The sequence below is a fragment of the Homo sapiens genome, chromosome X, assembly GCF_000001405.40.
Source record: "Homo sapiens chromosome X, GRCh38.p14 Primary Assembly".
Taxonomy (NCBI): domain Eukaryota; kingdom Metazoa; phylum Chordata; class Mammalia; order Primates; family Hominidae; genus Homo; species Homo sapiens.
In genome coordinates this window covers 19,630,914-19,649,747 of record NC_000023.11, presented here as the reverse complement: position 1 = coordinate 19,649,747, position 18,834 = coordinate 19,630,914, and the positions used below count along the sequence as shown (strand labels likewise).

General features: G+C 42.6%; 1 protein-coding gene and 1 long non-coding RNA gene across 33 annotated transcripts in view; one reads left to right on the top strand and one right to left on the bottom strand.

The window, feature by feature from the left end:
- The window catches only part of SH3KBP1 (SH3 domain containing kinase binding protein 1), a 353,624-nt gene that overhangs the window by 237,853 nt on the left and 96,937 nt on the right, over nt 1–18,834 (top strand). For all 32 annotated transcript variants that reach the window (NM_001353890.2, NM_031892.3, NM_001353892.2 and 29 more), the window contains 2 exons: nt 4,273–4,348; nt 17,790–17,884. In NM_001353890.2, the coding sequence (NP_001340819.1) occupies nt 4,273–4,348; nt 17,790–17,884 (171 nt within the window). The remainder of the gene's footprint in view (nt 1–4,272; nt 4,349–17,789; nt 17,885–18,834) is intronic.
- On the bottom strand, nt 4,988–18,218 carry LOC124905255 (uncharacterized). Its single transcript, XR_007068406.1, has 2 exons — nt 17,907–18,218; nt 4,988–8,623 (listed from the first exon to the last, which is right to left on the bottom strand). It is a non-coding gene; the product is annotated as an uncharacterized LOC124905255 (long non-coding RNA).

The following is an 18,834-nucleotide window of genomic DNA, read 5'->3' as shown; positions in this document are numbered from 1 at the left end:
TTATCTGTCTTGATGCTGTACCACTGGATCTTGTAGCGCTAGGAGTACATATGATACTCCCACTGTACACGAAAATCCTGAAACGTTTATTTAGTGCTTTTGGCAAGACAGCAAATTGGAGAGGTAGTTACATTATTAAATGTTCAAAGGAATGAACTTTCTGAATTATTGATTTTTAAAAGTCAGGTTTTAAATGGAGATAGGTATGTGGCAAGAAAGACAAAAGTTGACAGCAGCCTGGTAATTACCATGTGTAGAAGAAGATCCACAGTGATACAGATACAGCTCTATCCATCCAACCACATGCACATCCTTTCCCAGACCAAGCAGATCTGACTAATGTGGGTGTGTGTACTGGGAAGTCTTCAGCTGCCTCACAGAAGGAAGAGGAAATAATGGGCCAAGTTAGGGAGAAGAACCTGAGAGTCTGTTCTATAAAGTCATATGGCAAAATGGGTCTGTTTCCAGATCCCCCGGGAGGTGAATGGGCTGTGTCCTGAGCATGTCAACACAGCCCCTTAGTGCATGGCTGGTGTTTGTCGTGGATAAGCCACCTTCCTTAAGGCACTCAGGGGAGCAAGAACACTGTGGAGGAAGCCAAAGGGGAGATCCTGTATCCTCTTCCCCAGCCACTGCAAGCCTAACATCCCTCTTTGTTGCCTTCTAGTTGGAGGAGAGATGTATGGATGCGATTCCTGATTGTTCTGTCCACTTAGCCCTGCAGTGTAGCTGACCTTCAGTTATCCATGAGATATCTGTGTACTGGAGCTAGACATTGCGTTCATGAGGCATGCCCTTTGAAATTTGGGATTCTATTCATTTTAAGCCCAATTAGCCAAAGATGTTTTCAGAGGTAGAGGGAAGCTGGAAGGCTGACGGGAAAGCAATAATTCACCACCGTTTTTCTTTGCTCCTGTATGTAGGGAAGGGCGGGGGCTAGAGGTTCTCAACTAGGGATGTTTGGAAAGGTGTGTGGTGTTCAGGGTACATGCAATGACTGGGGGACACTATAGACTTTGAGTGGGTAGTGGCAAGGGTTGCTAAATGTCCTTTAATGTGTGAGCCAGTCTTCTACCTGAAGAAACACCTCACCTAAAATGCCAGTAAAGGGTAACACTGAGAAGGAGAAACAGGATTTGGGCCTCTATGAAGGCTCATACAGTCATGAGAGTCTGCCTGCTTAGCCTTCTGGGCAGTCTGTCCCCAGAGAGGCTAGATACAGCCTTCCAGTTTTGGTTCAAAGCCACCTTTCTTTCTTCCTTTCTTTCCTTCCTTCCCTCCCTCCTTCCCTCCCTCCTTCCCTCCTTCCTTCCTTCCCTCCTTCCTTCCTTCATCTTTCTAACTTTCTTCCTTCCCTCCTCCCTCTTGCCCTCCTTCCCTCCTTCCTTCCTTCCTTCCCTCCTTCTCTTTTCTTCTTCCCTTCCTTTCTTCTTCTCCTTCCTTCCCTCCTTCTCCTTCTTTCCTTCCCTCTTTCTCTTTCTTTCTGTCCTCCTCCTTCCTTCCACCTACCCATCCCTTCAGTGGCCAACTATCCTCCCCCATGTTTCCCTCAGCAATGTTGTCACATTGTCTGATCTACTGTACTCAAGTTCCTCTCTGAACTGAGTCATTTAGTAGCAATGACAAGTTCTTAGGCCAGTGAGAATAGAGAAGGCAGATGTGTTTGGTGGGAAAGGAGAGAGAGAAGAGAGGGAGAAGAGTTAAAAAGATGTTTCATAATTTATCTAGGTATGAGAATAGGCCCCTGAAGTTTTAATCCAAGAAAAGGCATTTGATTAATACTAATGGACTCCCTCCCACATCTAGGTCAGTGGTTCTCAAATGTGAGCATGCATCAGAATCCCACGGAGGGTGTGTTCCTAGAGACTGCTGGGAACCATCCCCAGAGTTTCTGATTGAGAAAGCCTGGGGTGGGGCCTGGGAATTTGCTTTACTAACAAGTTCTCAGGTGCTGCTGGTGCAGGGACCACACTTCTCTAGGTCTGGGTCCTAGAGACAAGAGAAACACTAGGCCAATTCCCATCTCCGGAGCACTGGCAGGAACAGGCTGAGATGGGGAGAAACTTTGCCATATTCTAGACTTTTAACTATGGCCCATGAAGGAGAAGGGAAGATTTAAGGCCAGCACTTCCCAGAAGATGAGGATAATACCAGCTTCACCATCACCCCTGTCGCTGGGATCCATGCAGAGGCCAGTGTGCTGTGTTTTCTGAAATAGGAAGGAAACAAACCACAGTGAGCCTTACTTTTTTGTGTCCTTCTGTACCAAAGTAAGTGCATTGAATTGGTGGCCTTGCTTGATGTCTGGTAGCTTGGAAGTTTTGGTAAGCCAGGATATCAAAGATGATGGGCAATACTTTCTTCTGTTACTAAAGAAGGGGAAGTTGTAAAAATGTGCAACCTGTTGAAGGTCTCTCTAAACCTGTTGGTTTAATGCCCAAACCGTTACATGTGTCCTTTTTTTTTTTTTTCAGGGAAGCAAACAAAGTCAGGAGTAGGGACAGTGTTTACTATTGCCTTTCCTGAATTCTTTGTTCAGTGATACCAGAAGCACTGGTTGTTTTTGTTTTCCTCTTCCTAATGTGTTAACAATGGTGATGCTTTATTCCAGCCCCACAAAGGGAAAAACAAATATGTTGGCAGGGATGCTGCTAGAAGTGTGAACAGGAATGTGAATGAAATGAACACTTTGAGAGCTGCTATTTTTACTATCGGTACCTGATTTTTCAAAATAATTCTAAGAACAGTTTTTCATCAAATTTGACCTGATGCCAGAATAACATCAAGCTTTTTTCATCCCTGATGTTCCCCTGGAATCATCAAATGTTATTAGTTTGAGTACTTAGCGGCAGTTTAGAGGTGGCATATTATTTTGGTTTCCATTTTTTATCCAATACAGAAGGCCCTGCGGCACTAAATAAAAATGTCACCGTGTAAGACGTAAAGGCTTTCTGTCACAAATGTTTTTAAAAATTCATGAAGGGCTGAGGATTTGATTTATCTTATCCTCTTTCTGTGATTTATTCATATTTAATGTTGGGTTCAACGTTTGAAGCATGAATAACTTTTTCAAATTAAAAACTGTGGTGAATCAGTTTTTTTTGAAGAAAAATTCTACCATGCCAGTTTTTGAATTATGCAGTTCATTCCTCTTCATGTGTTCAAGGGCCAGAGATGTTTGATTTTCCCAGTGGCTGGAATTCTCACTGGCAAAACCCTTCATTGTTGCAGGAGAGGTTGATTTCCCCAGCTACGTGGTCGTGACAGCTGTTGCCCTGGTATCAATAGACATTTTCCCTCAGGCATCAATCATGATCACACACGTGTGGTAGCAAAGGGGAAGAGTGGGAACAGACCTCGCCTTGGGAACCAATGGATCTGTATATTTCTTTCTATTTTTGAGCTGCTGAGTTGCCTGTGTTTTTAGGAACATCTTTAGGCAGAGATAAGATCCAGTCTTCTCTATGGACAGTTCATAAATAATGTTAATAGAATTAGCCGCAAATGAAGGAAAGGAAATGAACTCAAAACAAACTCATAATCTTTCTTTTTTTGAACTAGTCAGTGGAAGCATAGGGTCTGAGGCGCTGGATTTTTTCTAAGCCCTTGGAGGCTTAAAAGACTATAAGGAAAAGAGCTGCTTGGTGGACTCATTTTTGCCTTTGTGGCAGGCAGGTAGATCTGTTTAGAGGACATGAGAGTATCTCCCCTTTCTCTGGGAGGCAGGTGGAATTCTAGATGGCTAGACAGAGATGCAATAGGGTACACTGTCCTGGACATCCTGACTTCTGCCTGCCCATCCACCTGCCTGCCCGTCCTGCCCTCCTGGGCCTCCATTCCTGTATCCCTTCCTTTTGATTTCTTCCCTCCTACTTCCATTTTTCCAGCCTGCAGTGACTTTTGAGCATCTCCGTTGGGCCAGCTATTGTACCTCCATAGACTGAGTCAGCTTCTCATAAACTGAGGGGAACTATGCCTGTTTTCTTTGCTAAAAATAGTCAACCTTTTATAAGAGTATAAAGGAAGAAAGAGAATAAACGCTACTAAGTGCCTACAAGGATAAAGCCCTTTTTACCTATTTTTCTCCCTTGTTTGTCATTGAGGATGAAACCTATTAAAGGGGGGCAGCCAGTATACAGAGCAGGGCATAAACCAAAGAATGTGGCTTTTTAAACCAATTTCGAGCATTTTGTCATTATGATCTGGATCTTATTCCTTTGCTTAATGGAGACAATCATCTTGATAAGTAAAATCATCTGTTTTTCCCCTCAGACTATTGGGAAGAAGTTACCTGCAACTACAGCAACTCCAGACTCATCAAAAACAGAAATGGACAGCAGGACAAAGAGTGAGTTTCCTTAGTTATCTGTTTCACATTTAAAAGCATTTAAGGATTTCCCAATAACAGAAATGTTTTTTAGAAATCCCTATATAACCTTGATAGCTTTTGCAAACGCATCAGAAAAATGTACACAATTGTATTTCATTCAATTCCCCACCATTAGGGTGGGCACAGGTTAGATTCAGAACTCCTGTTTTTGTTTTTTTCTTTCCCCTTATTACAGAACGTGGTTCTCTCCTGCTATATGTATCTCACTCGTATGAAGAGCTAGGGTTTATCCATATATAACAAGCACTTTGCACAGTTAAGGTGGCTGAAAGATTTTAGAGAGTGGCAAATTAAGCGCTTTAGGGATTCACGAGCCCTCAGGTCGGAGAGGCCTAACCACTTGAACTTGACCAATTTTACTTACCCTTGACTTCCCACTGGTATCTTCAACACATCTCTGCTTGAATATCTCCAGATACCACTGCATGTCTGCAGGCAGGAGGCTCAAGTCTTTTTGGAAGGATTAGGCTAATGAATGGGAGGGGTTAACTGTGTTTTAGAACAGTGCTAGCCAATAGAAATATCATGTGTGAGCCACATATGTAATTCTAAATTTTCTAGTAGCCATGTTTAAAAAAAAAGGAAAAACAATTGGACTTAATTTTAATGTATTTTTATTTAACTCAATATATCCAAATATTATCGCCACATGTTATCTACGTAAAATTATTAAATGAGATACTTTCATTGCTCTCTTCATGTGAAGTCTTCACAATCCCATATGTATTTCATAGGCATAGTATACCTCAATTTGGAGTAGCTACATTTCAAGCACTCAATAGTCATGTGTGCCTAGTGGCAACCATATTGGAAAGTGTAGTTTTATTTTTTAAAATATTTTCTTTTTAAAACAATGTTGTGGGTACATAGTAAGTGTATATATTTATGGGGTACATGAGATGTTTTGATACAGGCATGCAATGTGAAATAAGCACATCATGGAGAATGGGGTATCTATCCCCTCAAGCATTTATCCATTGAGTTACAAACAATCCAGTTACACTCTTTATTTTAAAATGTACAATTAAGTTATTATTGACCATAGTCACTCTCTTGTGCTATCAAATACTAGGTCTCATTCATTCTTACTATTTTTTGTACCCATTAACCATCCCTCCTACCCCCCAGCCCCCAACTACCCTTCCCAGCCTCTGGTAACTGTCTGCCTACTCCCTGTGGACAGTATAGTTTTAGAGTAATTCTGGGGTCCAAGAGGGGCTTCCTGGGCTTGAAAATGAACACAGTTCCAAATGCTCAGCTTGCCTAAGCATGTGGGAGAATCCTGGCTCCAGCCCAAGCCTTGTTCAGTCCTAAAAGCGTCTATTAACTACATCCACATACCTGGCCCTCTAGGAACAGCATGGTGGGGGATGGGTTACTCAAAAGAGTGGGTTTATAGGAAGCCCATATTCTAGGACCAGCTCTGTTATTAGCTAGCCATGTGAACTTGGGCAAGTCATTTTATTCCTTTGGCCTTCCTCTTCATCATCTGCATTGTCTGTGAAGTCAGAGGGTTATACTAGAGATAAACCCCAGGGTTTATCCCAGCATCTTCATCCTCTCATTCAGTTCTAAAAGCTTTACAATTCAGAGGGGAAGGTTTCTGCATTCAAAAATTAAACAGCTGATGGAAGAGCCAAAAGGAAGATGTGAACAATTCAGTAGGAATATGAGAAAGGTGTCTTTGGGTATAGATGTTAATATGCCTGTAAATGGTAGCAGGTCAGGAAAGGGAATTATTACTGTCATCAAAGGCTTGAGGGATGTTTATTGACAGACATTTTTCATAGACACCAGGATAAGAATTTCTACAGTTGGGCTGGGCACAGTGGTTCACAGCTGTCGTCCTAGCACTTTAGGAGGCTGAGTGAGGCAAGTGGATCACTTGAGCCCAGGAGTTTGAGACCAGCTTCTTGGAAGGCTGACATGGGAGGATTACCCCAGGAGGTTGAAGCAGCAGTGATTGAGCCAAGGTCATACCATTGCACTCCAGCAGGGTGGCAGAGTGAGACCCTGTCTCAAAAAAAAAAAAAAATAAAAAAAAAAAAAATAAAAAATTCTTCAGTTTCAGCCCACACACACTGTCTCCAGTTGTCAAGAGCAAATTCTGGGGTAATTGTTCTTCCATGATTTCCATTTAGTGCCACCCCAGACCCCTAAGAAGCCCCCTAAAAAGCCCCTTTCATTTGGACCATTTCCCTGCTTCGGGATTTTGATACGACACCTATGTTTAGGTAACAGGCCACAGAGTAACTGAACAACTACATATTAGAAATGACCCTGAGCTTGGGATCTGAGCAACCTCCTTCCCTCTTCCTTCTGGCCAGAAGACAAACTATAACAAAAATTGCCCAGCAGTGCAGAAGAGGGCAGCTCCTTCCTGCGTAGATGTCTGTCTCCTTAGCATGCTAAAATACTAGCTCACATCAGGGTTAAGAGTTGTGATGATTTTAAAAATGTTGATATGAGTTGGTATTTTCTGAGTGAAAGTGAAACTCAGCTGATCAGGATTTAGTTAAACAACATTATCATCCCCACCCTCTCAAAAAAAAAAGCTTTTATGATATTGAAATTCATCAGAAACTCATGCTGGGGAACAGATTGACATAATTTTCATAACAAGAGGAAAACTGTCTAAATATTCATAATGAAGTGCCCTGAGGTTCCTCCAGCTCACCACATCTGGAGTTTCCCTCTTTCTTATTATAATTGATACAGATTTGTGGCCTCTGTGGGATAGAAAAATAGCCCAAAGGGCTATTGAATATTTTTCTGAAAAATAGTTCAGTCTTACAGATTCAGAAGACCAGCTGAACAGGTGGGTTGGGGGGAAAAATCCTTGACAGAATTTGTACAAGGGCAGATCAGGCTTCTGCATAAATTATGACTGCAGGACAAAGGCTGTTTTCCCTGCTGAACCTCATCTCACTTCCTAACTGGACACTCATACCGCCTTTGCAATCCCTTTGTTCATTGACTTGCTTCTTAGGAGTTCTCATCTGTGATGGCAACAAATGGAACCTTGTTGCTATCATTAGATCATTGGTCCCTCTAGGTTGAGGCTGTATCTTCTACTTGATATCCCCACCATGCAGCCTAGAAAAGTGCCATGGATTCAGTGGGCACATAAAAAGTGGTGGTTGAGCAAATGGAGAAGTATAAATGATTTATGATTTATCAGGCTGTAGATTGCACAGTTTTTTAAAAGCCGTTAGCACCATGCACGGTGGCTCATGCCTGTAATCCTAGCACTTCGTGGGGGCCGAGGCGGGAGGATCTCTTGAGCCCAGGAGCTTGAGGCCAGCCTGGACAACACAGTGAGACCCTGTCTCTACAAAAAATAGAAAAAATTAGTTGTGCATGGTGGCACATGCCTGTGGTCCCAGCTCCTTGGGAGGCTGAGGCAGGAGGATCACTTGAGCCCAGGAGGTCCAAGGCTGTGGTGAGCCACGACCGTGCCACTGCACTCCAGTCTGGGTGACAGAGTGAGACCTTATCTCAAAAATATATATAAAAATTAAAAAGCTATTAGCCATTGGTCCCCTTTGCCAAGTGTACATATACCTGTATATGTAAGCCCCTCACAATGAGACCTTAAACACAATGGTAAGAAACATCTTTCGAAAGTATGTTCCAAACACCTACTTTAAGAGCCCTCTGCATGGAAAACAGTTCCATTCACTGTAGGAAAACAGCACATAATGTATCTCTTAAAAAGTATGCTTAGATTTAGCTCTAAAACATTTATGTATAAAGCCCTCATGCACGATGAGATGCAATGCTAGAAACATCTCCCAAAAACATGTTTGAAACACTTGCTTACGAAATTTTATGCTTGGAAAACAGTTCCATTCGCTATATGAAAACAGCACATAATGCATCTCTACAGAAGCAAGTAGATTTAGCTTTTAAAGTTGTATATGGAAACCACATATAATGAAACTTGAAATACAATGGTAAGGAACATCCTTCAAAAGTATGTTCAGAACACCAGCTTACAGAGCTCTCTGCTAGGGGAAAAAACAAAACAAAACAAAAAATCAAAACAAAATACATTTGTTCCTGTAAGACACTTGAGCATGTTCTGGAGTCTGAGTGGTTAGCAGTGGTTGCTGGTGTTCCTTGGCTTGCCGGTGTTCCTTGGGGCTTGCCAGACCCTCTCTTCTTACCAGCCACTGCTCTCCCAATCGGCCTAAGACTGTTACCAGTGGAGGGTGTCCAGGTTCTTGGCGTCTTGAACAAATAATTGGACAAAACGCACAAACAAAGCAAGGAAAGAGTAAAGCAACAAAAGCAGAGATTATTGAAAATGAAAGTACACTCCACAGGGTCAGAGCGGACAGCAGCATAGGGGCTCAACAGCCAAATTACAGAATTTTCTGGGGTTTAAATACCCTCTAGAGGTTTCCCATTGGTTACTTGGTACACACCCTATGTAAATAATATGGTGGCCCACAGTCAGTCTGATTGGTTGTGGAAAGCAACCAATCAGAGGCTGAAGTGAAGCTACAAAGTTACACTTCTATGCAAACATCTGATTGGTTGCAGAAAGCAACTAATCAGAGATACTTTCAATTTTCCATCTGCCCCGCAGAAAAGGAGCGGGATTTGCAAAGGGAGTAGCCTATGGTCCTTTTGTTACTTAGGTGTGGAAAGTTGGGATTTTCCTTTTGATTTAGTTCTAGGAAGTCAGCGTGAATCGGCCTTAGGTTCTCTGCCTCCAGACCCTATTCTGCCTCAAGACCACCAGGGACAAGGCTGTAGTCTGACGAATTCAGGTTTATTGGCTCGTTGTGACCAGGGAGACTGCACACCGGGGGACGTGTGGATGTTACACCAAGCAAAAGCAAAATTAAAAAAAAAAAAAAAGTCGTTGCAGATTTTGAGAAGGGGTGGAATTTAGTGAAATGTAAATGAAATTATGTTTTGATAGGCTCAAGGCAAAGCAGGGCTGCACGGCAAGGGGTCAGCATCAGGTCTTGACTGTGAGGTGGACTCAGGTCCTGTTTCTTTGGCAGCTACCAAGTGAAGATAGATGTGTAGTGCTGTGTCCAGAAACCCGTTACATGAGGCGCTGCACTTGGGCTGGAAATGAAGACTGCTTCTCTGGGTCAAGTGGCTTAGCGCCTTCAGGCCAGAGTGGACTGTTTCATTCTTCCTGATATAATTTTTTTAAAAACCAAGTTTCTGGTAGTTTGTCTCTAAAATCACATACTTTGTCAGGGAGTGAGAAAGTAGGAGCACTCCAAGAAGAGGGTTGTTAAGGACACTTTGCAACTACTGCATATGCTTGGGAGAGAAACACTGTTTCCTGATCACTTTGCAGGTGGCCTTATCTGTGTCTGTTGCCCCAGCCTCAAGAATGGCTGGGCAGATTGCTACTTACTCAGTGCAGCTCATTTTTGCTTTCTCACCACATGTTTAAATAGGAAAAAAAAAAAAAAAAAAAAGAGTCAACTCTCTTGTGTTGGGTTTTCCTCAGCTTCATAATATATACCCAGGAACTCTGATCCTATTTTTTCAGACTCAGTGGTTTTGCTCACATATCCTCCCCCAAACTCACTCATTCTTGGGCCTGGGGATTTGGGCACATCCAATTTGCTGCAGCATGTCTCATATTCACCCCTTTAGTGCCTCCCATGCCTGTCATGTACTGAAGCCCCTCATGCTTGATGTCCCAGGGGTACCCACCTCTTCCTAAGAAGCACCTTTCATCACTTGCTCCCCAATACAGACATTGCTGTCTGGATTCAGAGTGGGAGCCTTCCCAGGAGGGTGCCCAGCCTACCCGTGTGGCTTAAGATCTGCATTTCAAATACAGTCCTCTTGAGAAAAAGGTTAACTCCCTTTGTGTTTTCCTGGTAGGTTTTCTTTCTCCCAAAGACTCTCCAAGGAGCTTCTCATCTGAGCTTCTCATCTGAAAGTACCATCGAGAGGAGCAGTGATCCAGCCTCTGCTGCATTGTAGAGACAAGAAGGGCTTTGCTTGTCAGATTTTCATTTCTTCTTTTTAAAATATACTTCTCTTTTTAGAGGAGGTTAAATGGTGTCATAATTCATACTTGTGAAATAATTTGAAAGTCAAATTCCCAACAGCATCCGAGACCGAAGGTGGTTGTTTGGAGTTATGGTCAGCTTCTTCATAAAGGAAGACACTGGGTTGGCGTTGACAGACATACTGACGGACACATCGTGTTTCATTTCTCCGTCTCAATTTAAATGTAGACCATGGCTTCTTCACCTCAGCAGTATTGACATTTGGGCTGGATCATTGTCTGTTGGTGGGCGTTGTCCTCTGTGTGCATTGTAGAATGTTTGGCAGCATCCCTGGCCTCTGCCCACTAGATGCCAGTAGCACTCAACCCCCATTCCCTGCCAAGTTCTAATAAGTAGAATTGTCTCCAGGTATTGCCAGTATTTCCTGGGAAGCCCTAGTTTCAAACTGCTGGTATAGACTGTAGTAAGCCCCACGAGGGCATTGTGGCATCCCTGCTGCCTGGCATGCAGTGGACGCTCAGTTATTATTTACTGAATAGATGACAAGCCTAGTATGTATTTCACTACTCCTCACTAGCCCCAGATCCTCAGAATCTGACCCAGAACTGGAGTTCCTGTCTAAATCTAGCATATGGCACACCCACCCCCAGTGCTACCACCATACTTGTCCACCCTCCAGGTCCCCACAACTGTTTTGCTCCTTCCTGGAATTAAACATTTGCTAATACCCATTACTAGACCAGTGGTTCTCACAGCGTGGTCCCAGAACTAGCAGCAGCAGGAGCATCACCTAGGAACTTGTTAGAAATGCAAATACCAGCCCTACAGAATCAGAACCCCTGGGGGTGGGGCCCAGTTGATCTATTTTTACAAGCTCTCCACCTGATGCCAATGCCCACTCAAGCCTGAGAACCACTGACCTAGACTAAGGCCTTTTTTTTTTTTTTTTTTTTGAGACGGAGTCTGCTCTTTCGCCCAGGCTGGACTGCAGTGGCGCGATCTTGGCTCACTGCAAGCTCCGCCTCCTGGGTTCACACCATTCTCCTGCCTCAGCCTCCCTAGTAGCTGGGACTACAGACGCCCGCCACCGTGCCCGGCTAATTTTTTGTATTTTTAGTGGAGACGGGGTTTCACCGTGTTAGCCAGGATGGTCTCGATCTCCTGACCTCATGATCCGCCTGCCTCGGCCTCCCAAAGTGCTGGGATTACAGGTGTGAGCCACCGCACCCGGCCTTTTGTTTTTTTTTGTTTGTTTGTTTGTTTTTTTTTGTTTTGTTTTGTTTTGGAGATGGAATTTTGCTGTGTCGCCTAGGCTGGAGTGCAGTGGTGCAATCTCGGCTCATTGCAACCTCTGCCTCCCTGGTTTAAGCAATTCTCCTGCCTTAGCCTCCAGAGTAGCTGGGACTATAGGCACTCACCACCAAGCCTGGCTAATTTTTGTATTTTTAGTAGAGATGGGGTTTCACTATGTTGACCAAGCTGGTCTCGAGCTCCTGACCTCGTGATCTGCCTGCCTCGGCCTCCCAAAGTGCTGGGATTACAGACGTGAGCCACCGCGCCCGGCCAGACTAAGGTTTTTAAAGCTTCTCTGATGATGAGAATCACCAGAGTATGTGTTTAGTAAATGGATTCCCGGTCCCACCTCAGATCTGAAGATTCACATCTGCAGGGAAGAGGTCTGGGAAGATAATAGAATGAACAGGTGCCCCACAAAATTCTTATCAGGGATGATTGATTGGGAAACATACCCCAATCCTACTCCTCTGGTCAGTGTCCTAGAACATTGTACAAAGCCCACTGTCATTTTCTTCCTCTCTGACAAGATCCTGAGTCTCTTGTTTGGGAAGTGATTGTCCCGTTTCAGATACTCTGACACTTTAAGCCGAATGCATGGCTCTCATCCTATCTTCACTGTTGTCTGGTCAACACTGTATGTTTGCAAACCCTTTTCTGCTACTTGAGCTCCTCGAGCAGATAGTGTCTTATTTACCTTAATTTCTCTTTCCTAGAACATGATAGAAGTCCACACCCTTATGTGCCATTCTAAAATACAAAAAGCTCTGAAAACTAAAATGTTTTATTACTCATTGGGTGATAAAACTTGTTCTGGACTGACATATGCCTACTCATAGTCTTTATTTTTCCCACTTGGAGTGACCAGTCATCCATTTACTGCAGAATTTTAATGGTTGGGTGCAGCCCCAGCCCCCAGCTGAGGATGTTACGTATTATATGGTATATGCAGTATATTTCCTTTCTAAAATCTGAATAATCCTGTCCCCAGGGCTTCTGAGTGAGGGATTACCAACCAGTAGTGTCTGAGATAATATTTGTCAGTTGAACGAGAGAATTTCTGATTATGATGTGCGTGAAACTAGATTATCCCTGAGCTTGATACTTTTGTTGTACTGTCCCAAGGGAAAGGAAAACTCCAGTTTTAGGTGTGACCTGGTACTTTCCAAATGCTGCTTAAAGCTCTGAAAGTCTTCCTAGCAGAATCTGCCTATGACACATGGGGTTTTGATCTTTATACCCTAAAACTGAACTCAGAGAGTTGTCCTGGATTTAATGTTATTTCCTTCTGTGTATATGTTCAGCTTGCTGATATATTTATTCTGTTGGTTCTGCTTTTATTTTTTTTTAAGCTGAGAGGGTTTTTGCTTGTTTGTTTGAAGTTGGTTTGTTTTTATTGAATAGATTATAAAACTAGCTGCAGGCAGTCATGTGATGTGGGCATGTGAGTTCAATTCCTTTAACAGTCTGTTTTTAATATTATGTAAATTTCTAAAAGTTTAGAGATTGAAATAATGTTTTTTGGGGAGGGTGTAAATCATGACTGGACATTTTGGTGATTTTAATAGAGCAAGCTTCTTAAAATTTGAAAGCCAATAATTAGTACTGGGGCTCTTGATGTGGGAACTAGGTAACTAACAGCTTTGGGGTCCTCAAACCTTCTGATATTGTATACATTTTCTCTGCACATTTGAGTGTGTGTGTGTATGGTTTGTTGTGTTGTGTTTTTTTTTTTCTGGAAAGAGTCATTGCTTTTTATCAGATTCTTAAAGGACTCTAAGACAAAAAAAGGCTTATGAACTGATTTAGGATTTCAGTCTTATGCTAATTCATTAGTCATTTTTAACCTTTCTAAAGAAAAAAGACAAAATCATCTCAAATTGCTGGATAAATTATGCTTTATTTTTTCTCTCTCTCTCTCTCTCTATGTGTGTGTGTCTATTCATTCCTATTTGATCTCTAATTAAATCCATCCAATTGATGAATAGATGGAAAATGCCTGCCTCTCAAAATTAATTTAATTCCCTTCTTCTCCAACTCTGTCCGATACTCATTTAAAATTTATAATCTTCCCACATCCAAAGGATGTGGAATTATACCCTTCTTTTAAGACATATCAAATGCCTCCTCTTTTGAGAACTTTCTCCTGAATGTAATCTTGCCTTTCTCTGAAACACAACAATATTCCATCATAGTGAGTTTATGTGTATGCATGGCTTTGTCTTTTCTTTCTGCCATTCTCCTCCCCTTGCTTTTCTCCAAGAATTAGACTGTCACTTCCATGCAGGGACAGGAGGGGGTGGTTGGGCTTACTTGTATATTACAGTCCCCCAAATTGGCAATGTCTTTTTCATGGTGGTGGTCCAATAAATATTTAAGTGGAAGTCAGGAACATCTTTGTTCCATATACTTTAACATTAAAACCACAAACTCAGAGTTAATAATTTTTTTGCAGATAACAATTTTGAGTGTCTTAAAGCCACTGATACATCCAATGCAACGTAGTATTTTTTTTCTTTCTTCTAAAAAAAAAAAAACGGGATACACGTGCAGAATGTGCAGGTTTGTTACACAGGTATATGTGTGCCATGGTGGTTTGCTGCACCTGTTGACCCATCCTCTAAGTTCCCTCCCCTCATCCCCCACCCCCCAACAGGCCCTGGTATGTGTTGTTCCCCTCTCTGTGTCCATGTATTCTCAATGTTCAACTCCCACTTATGAGTGAGAACATGCGGTGCTTGGTTTTCTGTCCCTGTGTCAGTCTGCTGAGGATGATGGCTTCCAGCTTCATCCATGTCCCTGCAAAGGACATGATCTCATTCCTTTTTATGGCTGCATAGTATTCCATGGTGTATATGTACCACATTTTCTTTATCCAGAAATATTTTTATTTTCTAATACTACTGAATTCAGGCTCAAATGCCTCATCAATAAAAATACATTCCTGTTTTAAAATATGTCATAATAAATTAAAGTGTGTGAAGCTAATGGTTGCCGGGTTTGGTCAGGAGTTCTGGGTGATAGTGCCTGTGACTAGAGTCATGAAAAGTCACAGCTCAAAGTCAGAGCTCCCAGGAACTCAGGTCTAGCCCAGTGTGCCCCTTGGAGCCCTCAGAGCTTCACTGACATGTCTTTGGGGACCTGGGTGGGAGATGGGACAGCCCTACTCCCCAACCAGAACAGCTCTTTTTCAGTTCCTTTATATTTGAGCTCTGGAATACCTTGAAATTTGCTAAGTGTCCTGCTGAAGTTAACCAGACTCTCCTCTCTCCCCTCCTTAGCTGGTCCCTGATTTTACACCTGAGGACACTGAGGTCATCCAGAGTTGTAGTGTGATTGTCTCAGGTCATGTGCTTGCGAAAGCCCAGCTGGGAACCCAACCTAGTCCCAAGTATCCTGCCTTCTGGCCCACCGTCCTCTCCTCCTCCTCCTTGTGGCCCCTCCAAGTGTTCCTCCACTTTATAGGGGTCACTTGGAGATCATCAAGAAACATTGAGTGGGAGCTCTGTGTCCGGTTTTGGGGGGTGCAAAGAGGGCTGAGATATGCTGCAGCAAGCCCTGGCACCAGGATCTCCTCTTTTTCTCTAACAGTGGTGCTTTCCAGATAATTCTGTGTCTAATGCCTTACACATAAAACAGCATAGCTGCACAGTCGAAGTGTTCTAAAGCTGGATTATGGTGATGGTTACACAACTGTATAAATTTATTAAAACTCATCAAATTATCACTGATTTTCTTGGCATTCCTCTTGCAGTTGAAATATGATTTCAAGAGCACCAAACACTGTACTGACGTCCAACAAAGATAAAACTGTTAAAAGGAGAATGGCAGGGGCAACTGTCTTCCTCAAGTCTGCCTGTCTGTCTCTCTGTGTCTGTCTGTCTCTCTCTCTCTGTCTCTCCATGTCTCTCTCTCTCTGTGTCTCTCTGTGTCTCTCGGTCTCTCCGTCTCTCTCTCTTTCTTTCCCTCTGTCACACACACACACACACACACACACACACACACACACACACACACACACACACACACACACACACCAGGGAACAAAATCTAACAGCCTCTCCCACCCCCAGCAGATTTCCTCTCACATCTCATTGGCTGCAAATAGAGCACCTGCCCATCCCTAAACCAGTCACCAACAAAAGAGAGTGAGATTAACATTATTTGCCTGGACATATTTTGCTTTATCCCCAGGGCTGTGAGAGGGTTCCATGTTCCTGAATGTAATGCCTGAACAAATTAGGATTCTGTGAACTAGGAAGAGGGTGGGGAATGTCTGCTGGGATGTTAACCAACAGTCTCTATTACACTTAATTAACTTTTTTTGACTGAAGGGAACAGAAACATGACCTGTTCTTTCTTTGTTGGCTGTGGGTTTCTGTATTCTTTGTAAAAATTGTTTCATGATTTCCATCCAAATAATTATTCTTAAAGCCAGGACTCTGTAGTGCAGTTCTTCAGTGATACTGTGTTTGTGTTGTTGTAAGTTTTGAGATTGGCAGTCATATTTCACTAGCACAGTCAATAGGAAAATTGGTGAGGAGCTGTCATTATCCAATTTAAACATGTTTTAACTTTTTCTGTCTCTGTAGAACATTTGACCAATTCAGATTTGGGGAGGTTTGCTATTACTAAGTAAAGAGAGATAGAACGTTGGTAACTATATGGGTTTAGGAATATGGTATTGATGGAATTTAGAACTATTGCCCCTCAGCACAGGTTAAGGGGCAAAAGCCATCAGAGGCCCAGAATACCCAAGATGGAAGATTTCCAACACTAGGACAGGGAATGTAACTAATATTTTCAAGCTATTGTAACAGAATATGAAAACATCTGCACAAAAGCAAAGTGAATACCGCCTCTCCTCCCTTCACTCCTTCCCCTTCCCCTTCCTCCCTCTCTTCTCTGTCCTATCCCAACCCTAGACCATAGTGTATCTGTATTATGGATTTCTTAATTGCTTTTATTTTATATGTCACAATCTCTGGTTGTTGGGATGTTAACCAAAATAAATAAACACATTTCAGTAATATAAATTACACTAGGGACAGTATAATTGTCATCAAGAGGTTACCTCTAAGACATAGCTCTAGGTTGTGATCCGTCTGCAGGAACGGGCCTGATGCTTGGGAAATATCTAAGGCCATTCACAGCCATTAGGTTTGTTGACTTTGATGCAGAATAATCGATGCCTGTCCCAGTAGATACTAATTCTCTTGAATTTTTCTGTCCACCTTCTGTCCTGAATCATCAAGGCCTAGTTTTCCAAGTCTCCATTTCCGAAATACAAATGTTTTCACTATCTTCGTAACTTGTGCTTTCAGATAAATAGAGATGATTTAACAGCACATGGACTTTCAAAAGCATGTAATTCAGGACATACTTAAATCGATTTTTAGTGGCCTTAGTATTTTTCCCTCTTTGGTGAGGGCTATTGCATCTCTTTGCTGAGGAACAGCCATCTATGCATAGGGAGGTTCCCACAGAAAGGCCATGGGACATATTTGAACAAGCTTACCCCCACACATATGTGTGTAAAGAATGTTCAGTCAATACTTGTTGGCTGTTTATGGTTGGCATGTGCTTACATAGAAATACATTGACATTTGTCTCTTAAGACGTACCATAATGGGGTAACTTTTCATTGTTTTATGTATCCTGGGTAGCTTTGTAACATGTATAAATACCTTGTTTCTAATTTAGTAATGTGTGGGAAAAGGCAGTGAGGCAAAACTTAAGGTTTTTTTGCCCTCTGTAGACTATATATGTTTATGCATGCACCTGAAGAGTATATAAAATGGTATATGTCTGTTTTCCTGAGTAAGGAAACCTTTTTACCTTTCTGCCAGAGAAAAGCAAAGCAGTCAGGGGCATCTCATGATGTCACATGATTTGTAAGGGGAAAAAAAGTGGAAGCCAATAAATATACATGAGCCAAAAATGAGCACTCTCGGGTCATTTTCTGAGGGTCACCCTTTCTTCATGCAGCAGTAATATGCTACCTGTTAAGTGTGCCTTTCCCTGAACTTAATGTGATAGAGATCATTTTCTCCTGGGCCAGCTCATTAGATAAAGCATTTTAAAGGTTATGTTTTCTGTTTTTCTTATAGGCAAGGATTACTGCAAAGTAATATTTCCATATGAGGCACAGAATGATGATGAATTGACAATCAAAGAAGGAGATATAGTCACTCTCATCAATAAGGTAAACAAAGGTTGTCTCCTACCTTCTAAATCGCGAACTGCTTTGGGGTGTTGACTGGACAGTATAAGCTTTTGCTTCAGCGCTTGAAAGCTTGGTTTTCTCAGTCCTGAACTTGTGAGGAAGAATCTTGTATCTTTCCTTTTGATCAAGCTAAGCCCAGCATCCAAGTGAATGCATTCGTTGAGACGAGAATAGATTTGTTTGCCTTAGGACCAGCTGCAGATTTGCATGGTCCTTCAGAAAAGTCTGTTCCAGAAGGAATAACCCAAAAGGCAGCCTGCTCGGCTGGAGATCCTGCCCTCCACAGCAGCCAGGCTGCAGAGCTCTGTGTCCTGAGGTATCCGAGGAGGAGTTTTTTTTTAAAACGCTGGTCATGCCTCACAGGCAGAAAACGCTTAAAGAATGTTTGCTGTTCAGATCAAAGACAGGTAGAGTGCCTGAGAGAATTTTTCCTGTCTCGTTTGGGCTAAGAAGATTGAATGATTTTATTATTATTAGAGCCAGAGCCCTGTAAATAAACAGAGAGCTATAAAATCTGTGTGAAGTGATGCAATTGAACAAGGGCCTTGGCTGTGTACTTTGTGTGCTTTCACACAATGGTACTCACCAAGTAGGTGGTTGAAAGATATATTATTTAAGCAATACCCAGAATATATGACTTTTTCTCTGAAGAACAGCATTTTTGTGATGGTCAAATATGGTAAGAAGCTGAATGGTCTTGAAGATGTGTATGGTGGTTTTATTCTTGTATTCAGGGGAGTGACAGGGAACTTAGCACAGTTCCCTTAGCACAAGTGTGACTTGGGAGATCATCGTGGCTGCCTGCGCTCGCTCTCGCAGGGCTGGGAAGCCTTGGCAGGGTGGAGGATGCAGGGAAGGGGAAGAGATTGCAGGTGCATAGAGTGGGAGTAGGCCCAGGGTCCCGCCGACTGTGGCCATTACTGAGAGGG